We start from the raw sequence: 17,298 nt of genomic DNA on the forward strand, positions 1-17,298 counted from the left end.
AGATCCATTAGTTCTATGAAGGAAATAAGGTAGGATGACAAGTGTGAGCTGTTGATGATGAGGCAGTACACTTTATAGAGAGAGGTTAGAGAAAGCTGACCTCGGAAAGTTTTTTTTGAACTTAGGCCTAAATGCAGCTACAAAAGCTTAAAGAAAAGAGTTTTTGAGGAAGAGGGAATGGCAAGTGCAAAGGTCCTGAGGCTTGACAAAGCTTATTTAAGGAACAGCAAGAAATCTAGTGTGTTGACTATGGGCAGAGAGCTCGGGGAAGACAGGTAGGAGATAAGTCAGACACAAAGCAGGGACCAGCATGCAGGGCCATGAAGACCACAAAGCAAGTAGTTTAGATTCTATTCCAAGTACAAACAGAAACCATACAAGGTTGTAAGGAGATTCATCCATCCAGCCTTCCATCCATTTAATCAATCATTCAACAAATTTTTTTTTAGGACTTATTCAATCTGGCGTTTTTCTTCTAGGTGCTAGGGATATGGTAGTAAAAAACTACAGTCCTTATCTTTTTTTTTTTTTTAGACAGGATCTTGCTCTGTTGCCCAGGCTGGAGTGAAGTGGTACAATTTTGGCTCACTACAACCTCTGCCTCCCAGGTTCAAGCAATTCTTGTGTCTCAGCTTCCCGAGTAGCTGGGATTACAGGCACAGGCCACCATGTCCAGCTAATTTTTGTATTTTTAATAGAGATGGGGTTTTGCCATATTAGCCAGGCTGGTTTTGAACTCCTGAACTCTGCCCACCTTGGCCTACAAAAATGTTGGGATAACAGGCATAAGCCACCGTGCCCAGCCAGTCCTTATCCTTTCATAACTTAGATAATACTAAGGTGAACCAAGAGCTTGGTGGCAAAACCAAGAGCTTGCCGACAGATTCAGTGTGTAGAATGAGGGAGGAGAAGGGAAATAGAGCATGGCTCGTAAGTTTTGGCCTGAGAAATTAGGAGAATAATTGTGTTGTTTACCAAGACAGATGATTGGTGACAGATTTGAGTTATAAGAGAGCACTCAGGCTCTAAGAATCTATATAAATTGCCTAAATTCATGCAGCTTGTCAGAAGTCGAGCTAGGATTCAAATCCAAGTTTTTCCAAAAGCTATCTCACAAAGCAATTCCAGGAGATTAAGCACTTTACTCAAACCCGAGGTTACAATTTAGCAGATGGGCCTAGAATATCACGTGGAGAGTCTGGAGCCACATTTCCCAGGTCATATACATAACCACTCTGAATCAACAGGTTTTCAAGTAGAAAAACATGATGACACCTCCCTAGCCCCTGTCCCATGGGGATCACGTTTGTTACCTGGGGCCTGACTGGCAAGCTCACACTCATAGATGGGCTGGCAGGGGCTGCTTGCCGGGCTCCTCTCAGGAGGTGGGTTTTCCCAGCTTTTTCTGATATGTTGAGAAATTACAAAAGAGGGATCTTCAGAGACGTTATGTAATATTTTGGGGGCCACCACGTGCTTCTGGGAAGGAAGAGTCTGGGCTCCTTTTGTTTCCAGCTTTTTCCTGGGTTCCTCTGGAGTAAGCCCCATGCCTTTTTGCCCTTCCAGATGGATGGCCTTACTTCCATAGTTGGCAAGGAGAAGGGCTGAAGACATTTCACTTTTCTGAGATGAAACCTTCTCCCAGTTCCAGAGTTTGTTTCTGAAGCTATTGGCCACCATTACTTTTTCCTTAGTGATTATCTCAACATTTGATTGAGTCACCTCTAACAGCAGAGAAGCCTTCTGTGAACTTGTTGCAGAACATACAGTAGACTTTCCCAGAGGCCCTGGGGAGTTAGAACATTTTGGAATTTCACTCTTCTGAGCCAACTTTATTTTCTGAGGTTGAAGAGGCTGGGACTCACTACTGGAACAGTATGGTGTGCGCTGCTTGTGGTTGGATGAGAGGGGTTTCCCATTGGCCAAAATTTGAGTTGACTGTGTGCCTCCAATGTCACCCTTTGGAGAAACACCTGCTGGGAATTTAATAGGTCCTGGAAGAGGTGGAGCATCAAGATTTTGAAATTTGGCTCGAAGTTCCTTGAAGTTTCTTACCCCTTCCTAAGGCAAAGAATAATCAAACAAACAAACAAAAACAAAAACAAACAAACAACAACAACAAAAACAAGTGTCTCATTATTCCAAGAAAAAAAGTCAGTGTGATTAGATCTCACTGATCTCACCATGTTAAGGGACTCTAACTGCTGATATAACGCAATTGCTTCTGGGCAATGTTAGCCAGCAATGCTATTGTCTATATGAGATACAATGAAAACACTATCTCTTTCTTAAACACTCCAGGGATGTTTAATTTTCACACAGCACATAAAGAACACCTATATACAGTACTAAAAACAGTGGAGAAACCCCTTGATACAAACTTTTGATGGCTCCCCACAACCTATAAAAATAAATTCCAAACTGCTTTATACAGAATTCAAGGTTCTTCACAATGAGGTCCACCAAAAGGTGGTGGAATTATGATCTCCAACCACAGCCAAACACAACTACCCTTAAACCAAACAGAACTGTTTACAATTTTCTTAGACCCTCCTACTCTCTATCACCTGGAGTTTGGTTTGTGTTCTTGCTTCACAAAATGCATCCCCATCAGCTTGTCAACACCTTTCTTGCACTTCGCTGCCTACTAATCCATCAATATTTCACCTAGGGAACTTAATTCAATATGCAAAAAAAATATAACTCCATTAAAAAATGGACAAAGGACATAAACAGAAAACCAACTACTGCATGTTCTCACTTACAAGTAGGAGCTAAACACTGAGTACACATGGACATAAAGATGAAAACAAAAGGCACTGGAGACTATGAGAGGGGTGAAGGAACGAAGGGGCATAAAGTTTGAAAAATTACCTATTGGGTACTATGTTCACTACCTAGGTGATGGAATCATTCATACACTAAACCTCAGTGACACACAATTTACCCATGTAACAAACATGTGCCTGTACTTCCTGAACCTAAAACGAAAGTTGAAAAAAAAAAAAAAAAAAAAAAGCTTTCACCTGTGGATGACAGACACAGCTAACTTCTTTCCTGTCTCCTTGGTACTTCCATAGCTTTTTATATCTTGGCTGTTGAACTTAATGCTATGGTATGGAGAAAAGAACAAACTTTGGAACTAGACAGACTTATGTTCACATGAAGACTCCACTCTTTATCCTCTAGGGAAATACTCTGAGAAACTTGATCTTCCCTCTAAGTGCTTTATAAAAATAAGTTGTCAAACAGTAGCAGTATTAGGGCCATTATAAGTGAAATGTCCATTACAGTGCCTGACACATAGTAGGCCCATGATAAAGAAAAGTTCTTTATAAGAGGCTAGATGACGCTCTTGCATTTTTAACTCCCCTTGGAAAATGATCATGCTCTTCCCTCTAAATTCAGCTCCAATTTGGTATATGAAAATTGTGGTAGTAATGGGAGCCCAATCTTTGCGGCAGAGGAAGGAGCATGACTGGGTTTATACAGTGAGTTGATTGGTGGTCCGGCCAGGTAGGTGTAGGCTTACCTCCTGCTCCATGCTCTTCCTGCTGGTCCTTCTTCCTCCCACTAAACTGCATTAGATTTTGTAAATGTGTTCTGTCATCTTTTGCTTTCGCAGGAAGTAGGACAATGTCTAATGGAGCCATTGCAAAAAATAAGAGCCACTATCCTCTCCTGATCATCTTAAAGGTTTTTTAATTTCATTTACACAGACCATCTCCATGGCAGTGACTTTTGATTTTGCCAGCTTAGGAAATGTTGGGCGACCTTTTCTCACCATATTTACAGTTGACTCACACCTGCCTTCTGAAGATTTTGGAAGGGAGGAAAATTGAACAAGAAGCATGAAGCAAGTGTCAGGGAGCTTAAGTACATGCACTCTCTCTCCTTTTTCATCTCTCTGTTCTCTCTTTATCTCTCTAACACACACACACACGCACAGGCACACGCACACACATAGCCAGCAGACAAGTTAATTTAACCACACTTTCTCTCCCCTGACGTGGCAGAAGCCAGCACTGGGCATGAAATCAGGAGATCTGAGTGTGAAACTCCACTTATCCATTTTCCACTTACGTGCCTTGGGCAATTCACTTCACTTTGTTGAGCCTTATTTTCCTCACTATGAAATGAAACTTATATTTCTGACAGCAGTTCAGGGTTATTGTAAGAATCAAATGAGATAACACACATACACACCTCAGTGATAAATATTTTTTATATTGTGGTAAAATACACATAAAACACTGCCTACATAACACTGCCAAACTGTACACTTAGAGATCTTAACCATCTCTAAGTGTACAGTTTGGCAGTGTTATGTAGGTTCACATTGTTGTGTAACCAATCTCCAGAACTCTTTTCATCTTGCAAAAATAAAACTCCATATCCATTAAATAAGTCCATATTCCACCCTCTCATTCTACACTCTGTCTCTGAATTTGACTATTCTAGGTACTGTATAAGAGGAATCATAGAGTATTTGTCTTTTTGTAACTGTCTTATTTCACTTATTACAATGGCCTCAAGGTTTAGCCATGTTGAAGCATGTGTTAGAATTTCCTTCCTTTTTAAGGCTAAATAATATATCATAGTGTATATATAACACATCCTGTTTATCCATTCATCCGTCAATGGAGAGTCAGATTGCTTCTATATCTTAGCTATTATGAATGATGCTTCTATAAACATAGGTGTACAGATATCTCATTGAGATCCTATCTTCAGTCCTTTTGGTTGTGTTCCCAGAAGTGAAATTGCTGGACTATATGGTAATTCTATTTTTAATTTTTGAGGAGCCTCCCTTCTGTTTTCCATAGCAACTGCACCATTTTACATTCTCACCAACAGTGTACAGGGGTTCCAATTTCTCCACATCTTCACCAACACTTTTTTTTTTTTACAATAGCCATCCTAATGGTTATGAGTTTGTCAGTGGTTAATATTTTTAAAGTAATATAATGATTATTTTCAGTTCTTCACTATTTGAAGCCACATGGACAACTACTGTACAATGTTGTTGCTTAGATTTTAGTCTCTGTAGGATTAATTAAGCAAAGCCCTAGTATGAAATAGAATTATGGATTTGATAACCTCCAAACCAAGGTCCTGTGCAAGGATCACTAGTTCAGCGGGGAGCAAACCTGATTATACCTGGCTCTTTACTCTTTCAACGCATGTTCATTAAGTATCTACATACAGACCAAACATTGTTTTAGACAGTCAAGGGCTCTGTTGTAATGTCAACGAGAGACAGAAAATAAGCAATTACACAAGAAAATATTAGAGACAAAGTGCTATGTGGAGAATTAAGCAGATGATGCAATAGTGACTGGGTGTCTACCACTGACTTTCAGAGCTACAGTAGAAAAGTAATTTCTTCTCTCTAGCTCAGCCATACATCAAATTAATGGTTGGTTTGGGTGATCTCCGAAGCCCCTTCCAGCACTAATATTTAGATTTTATTTTCCTTACAATTGATGGGAAATAGATGTGATGCCTTTTGTTTTTTATTATCCATCACCCATAGGTGGAAGTTCAGGTTTGAGGACATGAGGAAAACTGCATGAAGATGGTTTGGGAGGTGGCCATAGGGTCCTTCTGGTTAAAACCATGCCCCATTTTTCAGCTGCCGCAGCTAGTCAATCCCCAAATCCCACTGATCTGAACTCTTAAGCAGCCCGTGAGCACCTCCCTTCGATTCTTCCTCACTTACTGCTTCGAATGACTTCTTGATGGACTCTCTGCTTCCATTCTGAGCCCCTGTAATCCACCATTTACTCAGCTGTTAGACAAACCTCTTTAAAAACAAATCTGATCATGTAAGTCCCTTACGTGTTTTAAAACCTTCAATTTAGCATCCTCAAAGCTTTCAAATAAGCTCAAATTCTTTTGCTTAGCACATAAGACCCATCCTAATCCCGACCCTCTTAATGCTCCAACGTCACATTGGGCCTCCCCCCAACATGCTTTCTTCCTTCTAGCCTCACTAAATTGCTGACATTCTCCCAAACCTGTTTTGCCCTTTCATGTAGCTGTAACTTTGAATGTGCTGCCTGCAATGCTCATCTTTCTCTCTAATTTCTTGAACTAGCACATTCCTGCTCGTTCAAAATTTAACTCGTGTCATCTCAAAATATTTGTTGGTTGCCTACTATGCACTAGGCACTAGGGTTACAAAGATGAATGAGGCAACCCCAACCTTTCAGAACTCAGAAAATGAAGGAGACAGACACAAATTGGTTGTTTTAACATAATACAGGGAATTATTAAATATATGGCACAAAGTCTGTGGAGGGAACATAGAAAAGGGGCTTATGATGCAAACCTGGTTGCCAAGCAGGTTTCCTAGAGGAGATTCCCCAGCTTAAACAGTCAGCCAAGCAAAGAACAGAGGAAGGCAGCCCAGAGCATGAACACAGAAGGCACAATCTTGGAAACAGCATGATGTATATGAGAAGCAGCAGCAATTTCACATAACTGAAGCCCCAGTGCACAGTGTATGAGGCTGGAGAAGAAAGGAGAGGCCAAGTCTTAATGTCATCGGGCTTAATCTTCACAGTGGGTGAGGAACTACTGATGGGTTTCCTGGTGAGCAGCTAAAGGCAATTTCTAACTGATTCCTCTTTCATGACCATTCTAGGTAAAGCAGCATCTCTCCTTCACTCTCTACCTACCTTACCCTGGGTATACACTGGCTCATCCAACCCTTTCTTGTGAGCCTTCCCCTGGCACAGAGCCTGGGAAGCTTGGAACTACCACGCCCAGGCACTCTTTTATCTGGAATTTTGCCCAACAGAGGTGTCCATAGCTTGGTAAATGAGGCCCTGAGGGTGTGGCCGCTCAGGGAATAGCATGTGCTTTGGGGAGCAGCTGTGGCAGAGGTTCCTGTGCTACGTGGTGGGTAGCAGCATCGATGGATTCACATAGGAACTGCCCCATTCCCTTAGCTCTAGCATCTAAGCTTCTTGCCAGTTCTGGAAATTCCTAAAATAATTTCTTGTAAATCCTTTTCCATTCATATTTACAATAACAGGTTTGAGTATCTGCAACGACAACAACAAAACACACTGGCCGATACAGCCTGGTTTGTTTTTCTTTATAGCACCTATCAAAACCCATCAGATGGTCTGTCTACCTCCATCAGAATGTAAACTCTTTGAAGGTGGGTACTTTGTTTGTATTTCAGTATTTGCCCACTGCTGTAGTGCCAGTGCCTCAATAAAAATGCGGTGAAGGAATGAATCCTTAATTCACTAGTCTTTCTGAACCCCTTTAAGACAGGGCCAGTATCCTATTTATGTTGGTATCCCCAGCAGTGGCAGAAGTGACCCACGAAATCCTTGGTGAATGAATGAGTCAGTGAATAGATATTTAGAAAAGTTAGCTGGTTCACATAATGCAGGAACCGTAACTCAGCAGAATCTTAATTTTTTCCTGTGTCATCTTTGTGAAAGCAGATTAGAATGCCCATGGAAACAAATGATCTAATTGCTATCATGTCAAAAGACAGCCCTAAAAATAGCCCTGGAAAATAGCCTGGTACTTTTGATTTGTACTGGGCAAGCCTCAAATACCCATCTGGGAAGTACAGGCCAAAACAATTCGAGAGATATTGTGGGAACAACCTAAGATAAAAGACAGTGGTGTCCTCTAAACAGAAGGGGTTTATCTCTTTGATATGGAAATTAAGCAAGGAGGAAGCAGCCAACAAAAACAAAGACATTGCTATTTCAGAAGAATGGAGAGACCAGAGTAAAATAGTTAGAAGTCTGAATCTCAGCTCTTCAAGTGTGGCATTGTTATATTTAGATGAATGTATTTCATCACTAGGAAAAAAGACTCCATCAAACAGATGCCTTTTATTCAATGTTTATGTTACAGGAATCTAAGGAATAATGATAATAATAATAATAACAAAAATGGGCAAACACATGATATTACCATATACCAGGCACTGTTCTAAGCACTTCATATACATTCACTAATTTAAACCCATGTATTCTCAGGTTACAGACAAGGATAGTGAGGCATCGAGGGCCTATGTGACTTGTCCAAGGTCACGCAGCAAGGAAGGGTCAAAGCTAGCAATCAAACTCATACAACCTGGCTTTGAGTCCCATATGCTCTATTCTGGAATCCTCTAACCCAAGAATTTGCTTGGTGGGTCTAGAAACTTCTTTGGCTAATAATTTTCTAGAAACAAGCTAATACCTGATTACATGAGCATAAATGCTGTAACCTCCTCTTCTTGGGAAGATATTTTCCCCTTTGCTAGTTTCAGAGATAACTATATTTTTTTCTATCCTCATCATCCTTAACAACACTTATATATGATGTCTTAATTAATTTCCACAATAACCCCACCAATTAGGCGATTGTTACTGACCCTGTATTATAGATAGACTAAGAGAGAGGTTAAGTAACTTTCCCCAGTTTACATAGTTAGAGAATTTAAATCCAAGTCTGTGTAACTCCAGGACTGCTTTTATTTATTCTGCAATAAATATACAAATATATTGACAAATATACCTTTCTTATAAATTTAGCTTCAATTTAAAATTCTTCTATTAATTCATAAAAATATCATAATCAATTTTGTATATGTCACATTTACTTTAGAGATTATGTTAAAAATGTAGCTCTAATCACACCATTGAAACAAACAAAAATCCCAGGAAGCCAATTTGCATTGGCTTTTAAGACACTTTCTCAGACTTTTTATTTATTTATACCGACATGAGCAAAACATTTTACTTAATATAACTGGCATAGTTTTAAAAATTTTAATAAATTACATGGCCATTGTGACCATGTATCTTGGGTTTTTCAAGGTAGTTTTGATTTAATGTAATTTAAAAGGTGATGGGAAAATTCAGAACCAAAGAACAAAACTCAGTATTATACCCTTTCAAAGTAAATTTGGAAATGATAATAAATTCTGTGTCAAATCACGTTTTGATCTCTGCTTTATAAAGCATGGCACAGACAGTTATTTCATCCTCTCCTGAGTTTACCCTGCTGCCACGGGCTGCTAGGTAACCCTCTCTATGTCACCGCTCTCTGCCTTAACATCTACAATGGCATTCATTGCACTGCACAGCAAGCTGCCTTGGACAAGGACTGCAGGTGCTCAATAAGTTAATAGTGACTTGGTGAGTGAATGCGGTCATAAAAATATATATAAAGTAAGTTCCAAAAGGAGAAGATACTATTTCTATGCACATTTCCTAATTGGAAAATAAAGGTTAACTCATTTCTGAATGTCTGCACATTGCTAACTGTTGCCTTCCACAGGGAGAAACAATGGCAACGTCAACAGCAATGGTTTATCACAAGTCTGAACATTCCTCTGTGGTAAGCAAATCCAAGAGCCTTAAGGAATATGTAAACTCAAAATCCAAGGCAAAGAGAAGGCAGCAGAAGCCAACAAATTACGTGCCCAGGAAGAGAGGCAGTAGTAACTGTCAAATCCTATCTAAGATGGAAAGAAGTAGAAGTCGATTAAATATAGCATCTGAGTCACCCTTCATGACTAAAAGGGCTTCAATTCAACCTTCACTACTATAAGAGCTATAATAATGGTGAAACTGTCTGTATTCTTGGTACCAATGATTAATTCCTATGAAGGGATAGGAACAACAGAACTGAACTGACACTGTAGTTGTTAGTTAAGGTTAAAGCTTAAGGTTAGAAAGATTAAAAGCTTCCTATGTAAAGGCAAAAAAATAAATAAATTAATTAATTAAATAAAATAAAATAATTGCACCCCCATTATCTGTCAGGTCACATGAGTACTTTTCACCTCCAGGTTGGGTATGAGCAAGAATACCAGCTCCATTAAATGTGTGACCTTGAACATGCTACTAAATCTCTCTGCATCTGTAAAATGGGGCCAATAATACTCACCACATGGGGTGTAAGGTTTCAGTTAAGTGTTACAAAGTCCCTAAGTGCCCAGCCCCTGGCCAGTGCTCTTGGTGAGACTGCGCCTCCTCTAGTTGCAAGCACATATGCCACCTGCTGTCCCTCAGCCATGACACTGCCTACTGCAGACAGCAAAGGCAGCCCAGAGTCTTGATGGTCCTAATACACCACATGCTTTCCTCACCTCAATACCCCATGCATTACCACTAATGCTGCCTAAGCCCCCATCCTGAGTGGTAGGCGATAGTTAGCCGATGACTTGTCTTCCCCTAAAACATCAGGCCAGTGAGACTTACATCCCCATTTACCTTGGTCACCATGAGAAAACGAAGCTGGTCTGTTAACAAAGGGCCTTATTCCCCACAGACCTCTATAGTATCGCCAATTGAATCCCATTTCTCACCCTTCCCTGACCACCCTAACCCTCAGTCTGCAAAATTCCTCATGTCCTCAAGCTCTTCTATGAACTTGCCCTCTACCTTTTTGCTCTAACTCGAACTCATCTCTCTCCTGAAGAAATGGCTCTTCTTGTGCTCTCCCAAGCATGGCTTTCTTCTTCCACTCTCCTCTATTCCTGGGTCAGGAAGTGGAGTAAAGTGTTTTCTTAGCTCATCACTGCTGCTTTCAAATTATTTTTTCTTCCTCAATAAGACCAACTCCTGCAAAGGGCATATCAAACTAAACCTACTGCTTCCCATTGATGTCTTCCACAATATTCCTGATCACTCCCTTTTATTTATTAAAGATTTAAGCACCCAGCTCACTCCTCTCTATTACTACTCTCATGACAATAAGCAAATTCCAAATCCATGCAGGTAATCCTTCCAACACTTTGGCCTCATTTCTGATGATCTCATCTTTCACCCTACTTTAGACACTAATTTCCACAGATACACCTTAGACCCTGCTATGAGTAATAAATGAACCGTCTCCACCACATCAATCTCAAGTACCCTACTCCTGGACACCCCCTTTCATCTTACCCACTTGCCTTTTCTGGTGCCCCAACTCCAGCAATGCATTAGCCTCATGGGCCTTAGCACTGTTTCTCTACTATCCGGTCCCATCTTCATTTCCCTATGTACCCAGATTGGGTTCCATAGACCATCATGAGAATCAGTCTCTGGAATACATCTTAATTCTTGCCTATCTCCCACTCCACAGTTACTTGGGTATGTGTAAAAGGCATGAAATGTGCCTAGAACTCTAACCTTGGTTAAACATTCTTCCTACTCTTTATTTGTACCAGAGGCAGAATTAAACCCAGGGTAGCTCCTATCTACTTTGCAGTTTTTAGGGGCTGGAATTGTCTATTAGAGTGGGAGCATGCAGAAACTTGGAGTCCAAGTGAAGGAGTTAGGATTTTATTCCATAGGCAATGGGGAGCCTCTAAAAGTTGCAAGCAGGAGAACACAGTGGGCAACTCCTACTCATTCAAGTCTCATGTAAGGCACTGCTTTCCCAATCCTCCTGGCTTCTTCCCCATCTGGAACAAGTACCTCTCTCTGCTTACTTCTGTTTTGGTGCTTATCATATTCTATCTTATCATAACTACTTACTGGTCTGCCTCTCCCACTAAACCTCATCTTTTTCAATACAAGGACTATGCCTTTCCATCATTGTATCTTCGGCTGATAGCTGGGCTGGAGCAATTCGAAACACTTCATCCCCATTTAGTGAAGGTAGTTATGCAGGCAATTACCTAACCATAAATACAGTGCATGGTGTAAATGAAAATTAGTGAAGAATTAGTTTAGCTTGGCCCATTCAGGAAATCCTTCCTAAAGGAAGTAAGATTGAAGGATGAGTGAGTTTCCATTGTAGAGAAAAGGGCTATCAAGACATTTTAGGCTAAAGGAACAGCATAGACACAGGCATGGAGGTGTGCCGTTCCATTGTATTTTCAGATTGGAGCAGCTAGAGTAAAAATTGAGTTGAGCAGAAGAAAGAAAGCCATTATTCTTCCCAGGAGCCTTCAAAGGTTTAGGGACTTCAAAGCCTTCTTTCAATGAAGTAATGAAGAATCTCAATTGCCTTTTCAAGGCAATAAGAGAGGAGGAAATATTTTGGTGTAGGGAACCCTTCGGTGGATTTCAGATCATATCACCTTGCACTTTCTTGTCTGCATGTGCCTACACTCCTTGTCATGAAGGCCTTTCTGTCCATCCATCACCAATTACAGAGCCATTAGAACTTTCATCTAAGAATTCCAATAGTACATTAACATCAACACAATCATCTTCCTAGCATCAACATGAAAATTTGTGTGTTAGCAGCCTCTCTATAAAATCTCTTCCATCCATTTCTTTCCCTGCACAAGACCCCAGTCTTCATGTCTTCCTCTTTCTTTGAAACATTGCTTGGATTCTCTGAGATTTAGTTTCAGCACCAATTTAGGTCTACAATCCTTACAAAATCCTCTGACCAAGTATACTTTGGAATTCAAATTTTTTCCAGTTTTAGAAAGGTAATATATTACAAATTCTGTATACGTAAATCCTAGTGTGGTCTGAGACAGCATGCTGTGATCAAACATGTTACCATTTCTATAGTAAAACATATTAATGTTCATATAATGCAAGATAAATAAAGACCATAAATTGTCTCATGTTGGTTCAGGCAGGCTTTTGAAACCAAAAATGTTATGAAAAATTAGTGGGTTTCAGAGCTTATTGGATTTTGGAATTGTGGGTAACGAGATCATGAACTTTTCCCTAACCACTTCCTCACATTTTCTTAAGAAGGAAGAAGAAAAAGCAAAACAATTATTCAGCTCCAGGCATAATCAATGGTAGCTGGACTGATAGTTATTCCCTGGTTCAGCATGTTGTCTTCTGCTACTTAGATTTTTGCAATCATTTTCTAACTGGTAACCCAGCCTCACACAAAAATGTTGCAGGGATCTGATGGCTCTAAAATACAATTCCAGTCTAAAATGTCACTCCATTTAAAAAAATAATATAGTGTTTCACAAGTATCTATCAGTTAAAGTGCTAATTCCTTCACCTCCTTGATCTGGTCCCAAACCGCCACCACACAGCTTTATGTTGCAGTCACGTAGAACTCCTGGGCTCCCTCTAGTGTGGGCCTTGTTTTCCTGCATCCCATCACAGCCCATGCTTCACCTGCCATCTGGCATGTCCAGAATGTCATAGCACGAAATCTACTGTCCAAATTTTACTCATTCTTCTAGGCACAGCTTACATGCTTCCACCATCAATGGCCCCTTCAAAGCTTAACCTCTTTCTCCTCAGACCTCTTCTGGCAATTGTTCTTAATCCTGGCTGTGCATGGGAATATCCTGGGGACTCCTGAGCCTGCCCCACTGAAATAGAAGCTCCGAGGAGTCCATATTTTATAAATAACCTTGAGTGCTTACTGTGAGGCCAGCTCAGCACCTGGTCCAAGGAACGGATTTGAAAACATGTCTTACAGCACTTCATCTGCAAATCTCTTTTGGTCTTATGCCCTTTGCCACTTTCCATATCCTACTACAATTATTCAAGTAGATGCTTCATCTGCCCTATATTCCATGAACTCCTTGAGGTCAGGTAGAAATACATGCTCACCTTTGTGGAGCCTACAGTTTCAAGCATGAAAATTTGCTCCTAGTAATACTCAATAAGTATTTACCAAACTAACAGCAAATGAAATGAGTGAATATATTTCTGGAGTAATAACCTCCTGAGGGGATGATCTTTTAAAAGGCTTTCTTTGAGAACTACAAATTAATTTCATGCCAATGATGCATCTAAAGCGCAGGTTCAGGTCAGATGCAGTGGCTCATGCCTGTAATCCCAGCACATTGGGAAGTTGAGGTGAGCAGATCACTGGAGGTCAGGAGTTCAAGACCAGCCTGGCCAACATGGTGAAACCTCATCTCTACTAAAAATACAAAACAAAAATTAGCTGGGCATGACGGTACATGCATGTAGTCCCAGCTACTCGGGAGGCTGAGTGGGGAGGATGGCTTGAACCCAGGAGGCAGAGGTTGCAGTGAGCCGAGATGGCACCACTACACTTCAACCTGAGTGACAGAGTGAGACTCCATCTCAATAAATAAATAAATAAATACATAAATAAATAAATAAAGTGCAGGTTCAATCACGCCACTCCTCTGCTTAAAATCTTTCAATGGCTCCTTGTTACCTTATTGGTAAATCATACATTCCTTAGCCAAACACATAAGGTCTTCTCTGATCTTTTCCTGTCTACAGCTCCAGCTTCATTTCCCACCACTTCCTGCCTCTAACTCACCCCTGCAGTAAAACTGAACTTGCCTCTGTGCATCTGCTGTTGCCCCTGCCCGGAATGCCCTTCCTGCTTTTCTTTGCCTGGCTAAATGTATTCATCTTTTGAGATTTTTTAGCTGAGTTACCAATCCCTCCGAGCAGCTTTTTCCAGTTCTTAGGTTGGGCCAACTGTCTGTACTTGCTCCATTTTAGTACCTTCTGCTTCCCTCTGTCTTTCCACTTATCTAATTTTGTTGATTAAAGTGATTTACATACGTGTCTGCTTTACCACACCCCACTCGCACATGTAGATCAGATTTTCTTTTCACTTGTGCTTCTGTCACTGTGTCTAGGCACACAGAGAGTAGATGGACGATACGTGTCCTTTTGAATTAAACTGAGAAGATTAGAAAGCATTTGTTGTATATTTGTGGGTAGGGTAACTGGGGAAAAATTGGGAGTAATTCTTGATAAAAGAAAATGAAAGGTGCTTATTATGTTAATGCATTTCCAGGCACTGCACATAGCAGCTTGTGTATGTTGTCGTGTATGTTGTCTCAATTACCATAATCCTTACAACTGGCTTCTGAGCTGTGCCCCCTGAAGATGACAAAAGTCAGGATCAGAGCTTTCTGAAGCTTACCAGGACACATAGCAAATGGGTGCTAAGCCAAGATCTGAACCCAGCCCTGACACCAAAGCCTGTTGATATGGTTTGGCTGTGTCCTCACCAAAATCTCATCTTGAATTCCCACATGTTGTGGGAGGTACCCAGTGGGAGGTAATTGAATCACGGGGGCAAATCTTTCCTGTGCTGCTCTCATGATAGTGAATAAGTCTCAAGAGATCTGATGGTTTTATAAAGGTGTGCTCCCCTGCATAAATTCTCTCTCTCTTTGCCTGCTGCCATCCATGTAAGATGTGACTTGCTCCTCCTTGCCTTCTGCCATGATTGTGAGGCCTCCCCAGCCATATGGAACTGTAAGTCCATTAAACCCCTTTTGCTGTATAAATTACCCAGTCTTTATCAGCATGTCTTTATCAGCAGCATGAAAATGGACTAATACATCTGTGGTGTTTTAAAATCAACTCTATGCTATACGACATGCCTTTTCCTTAATAACAGTGTTTCCTCTCATCTTTTCCAGACTCATCCAACAATTATTTGTTGTATTCCTATTACAGGTAACATAAATGCATGAGGCAGACACAGGCCTTGCTGTCCTGGGGTTCACAGTCTCATGGAAAAGATGGACACATAAACAGACGATGACAACACCTTGAGGTCCCTGCTGTGATGGAGCAGCACCAGAGGCAGGACAGGGAACACCTAACCAGACTGGGGACAGAGAGAACTTTCCAGAGAAAGTGAGACAGACATAAAGAACAAATAGGAACTTGGCTGTCAAAAGGGGGAATGAGATTATATTAGGTTGGTGCAAAGTAATTGTGGTTTTTGCCATTGAAAGTAATGGTAGAGGAGATGGCATTTCAAAGACCTGAACCTGAGAGAGTCTGGCATGTGTGGGTTTCTGGAGTGGGGAGTGTGGCTGAAATGTGAGATGAGAAGGAGAAATAGGGCTAGGGTGGCCCCTTGAAAGGTCTCACAGGCCACTAGAAACAAACTTAACAACACAAATTTACATATTTATGGTTCAAAATTCCTTCACAGAATATACTGGGAGATCATGAATATCAAAATGATATTTTGCAACCTTCAAATCCCCTCACTCAAGGCACAGGCCTATAGAGAACCCCCAAAGCAAAGTGAAAAACAAAGGGAGATAACTATTCATTGCAAACAAATGGGGTTTATGATGTCTTTTAGGAAATCAGCCAAAACCAAAAAATGCTATGGGTTGATATTGCTTCGATACTAAAACTTAAGCAACATTTAACTGCATTTTGTGGTGAGGGTAAGGGTTTCAGAGGAAAAATTGGGCCATATATACCCTCAGGTGCCAAGTTCAAAATATAGCTTTCAGCAAAAGGCTCAAGTTTAACTTAGTTGGCAGCCTGGGGATCACGGCCTGAAGTCAGAATTTATGATCTCTGCAAACATGCCAAGTCCTCCAACAACCCAATTACAGCCCATCCCTGATTACATGCCCCACACTCACTCAGCATTGCAACTTGGGCCTAGAACAGGAGGCTTCACTAGAAACTGCCTGCCAGGGAGCTGGAAAAACCGACCACAGAGCGTCCTTATTTGAAAGGGTTTCCTGCTCTCCCTGCTGCCCTCTCCTGCTGCAGACAGAACAGTCACTCAGTGTCTTTTAGGTTTATGACAGTTTTATTTAAAGTGCAATTTAATGAAAACTGAAAAAAGAAGGGTTGAATAACCTCTGTGAGCCACTTTATTGCTTTTACTCCACAGCTATGATGTAAACTCCTCAGCCGATGTGGCCATTTTAATTTCTTAGATTTGTTTTCTATATTAGAGTCCCAGCTGCATGAAGAAACAGTAAAAGAAATCAGAGACACCATTCTAAATGCATCTGGGGCAGGTTTTACAGGTGTTAGATGTTTTTGCTTTTTAAAGAAGATAAAGGAGCCCCTGTCTGGTTTTCTGTCTATTCAGGACCCTATTTTTCCAATACTAGCAATGGAAGTCATTTTTAAGATCTGGAGTGCCAATCATTATCATCATGCTCATCATTATTGCCTCTGCTACTTCTATGTCACCCATTACCACACCCCACTAATTACTGAGCTTGCACCACTGCAGTAGATGCAGTGCATCTCCACTTCAGAGATAGAACCTCAGATTCTTCTAACAACCCAGCAAGATTGGTAAGCGTTGGAATTCCCGTTTTATAGATAAAGAAACTGAGGCTTGGAGAGAAAGTAAGTTTGGCTTAGGGATTGAAAACTATGCTCTGGACTTTGGAATCAGATATCTGTGTTTGGATCCCTGCCCTTTCATTTTCAGCTAGATGATTTTAACTTTCATTCCCATCAATAAAATGGCAACAATAATAGTATTTACTGTATTGCCAATTAATTCAGACAATCCAAGTTAAGTGTGAATCACAGTACTTGGTAAATAGTATATTTTCTAGAAATGTGAGCTACTTATGATTATTATTGCCATCATTATTATTACTGGTGTTGTCAAAGTTTGCATTGTTGT

The 17,298-nt window shown here is 40.6% G+C and overlaps 1 protein-coding gene across 18 annotated transcripts in view, besides 1 other annotated feature; it reads right to left on the reverse strand.

Moving 5' to 3' along the window:
• The window catches only part of FYB2 (FYN binding protein 2), a 108,126-nt gene that overhangs the window by 71,954 nt on the left and 18,874 nt on the right, over nt 1-17,298 (reverse strand). For all 18 annotated transcript variants that reach the window (XR_007095697.1, XR_007095698.1, XR_946570.2 and 15 more), the window contains one exon: nt 1,314-2,061. Coding sequence is in view for 13 of the 18 variants with exons in the window: in XM_047448403.1 (XP_047304359.1) it covers nt 1,314-2,061 (748 nt within the window). In the remaining 5 variants the exon portion in view is untranslated. The remainder of the gene's footprint in view (nt 1-1,313; nt 2,062-17,298) is intronic.
• Nucleotides 10,588-10,757: an enhancer, noted in NCBI's record as "experimental_8756 CRE fragment used in MPRA reporter constructs". NCBI's record gives its function as "activates a minimal promoter by MPRAs in K562 erythroleukemia cells, with activity observed for both the introgressed and non-introgressed 1:57267088 variant alleles {active_cell/tissue: K562}" and the evidence as "EXISTENCE:reporter gene assay evidence [ECO:0000049][PMID:34662402]".

The sequence above is a fragment of the Homo sapiens genome, chromosome 1, assembly GCF_000001405.40.
Source record: "Homo sapiens chromosome 1, GRCh38.p14 Primary Assembly".
In the NCBI taxonomy this organism is placed as follows: Eukaryota; Metazoa; Chordata; class Mammalia; order Primates; family Hominidae; genus Homo; species Homo sapiens.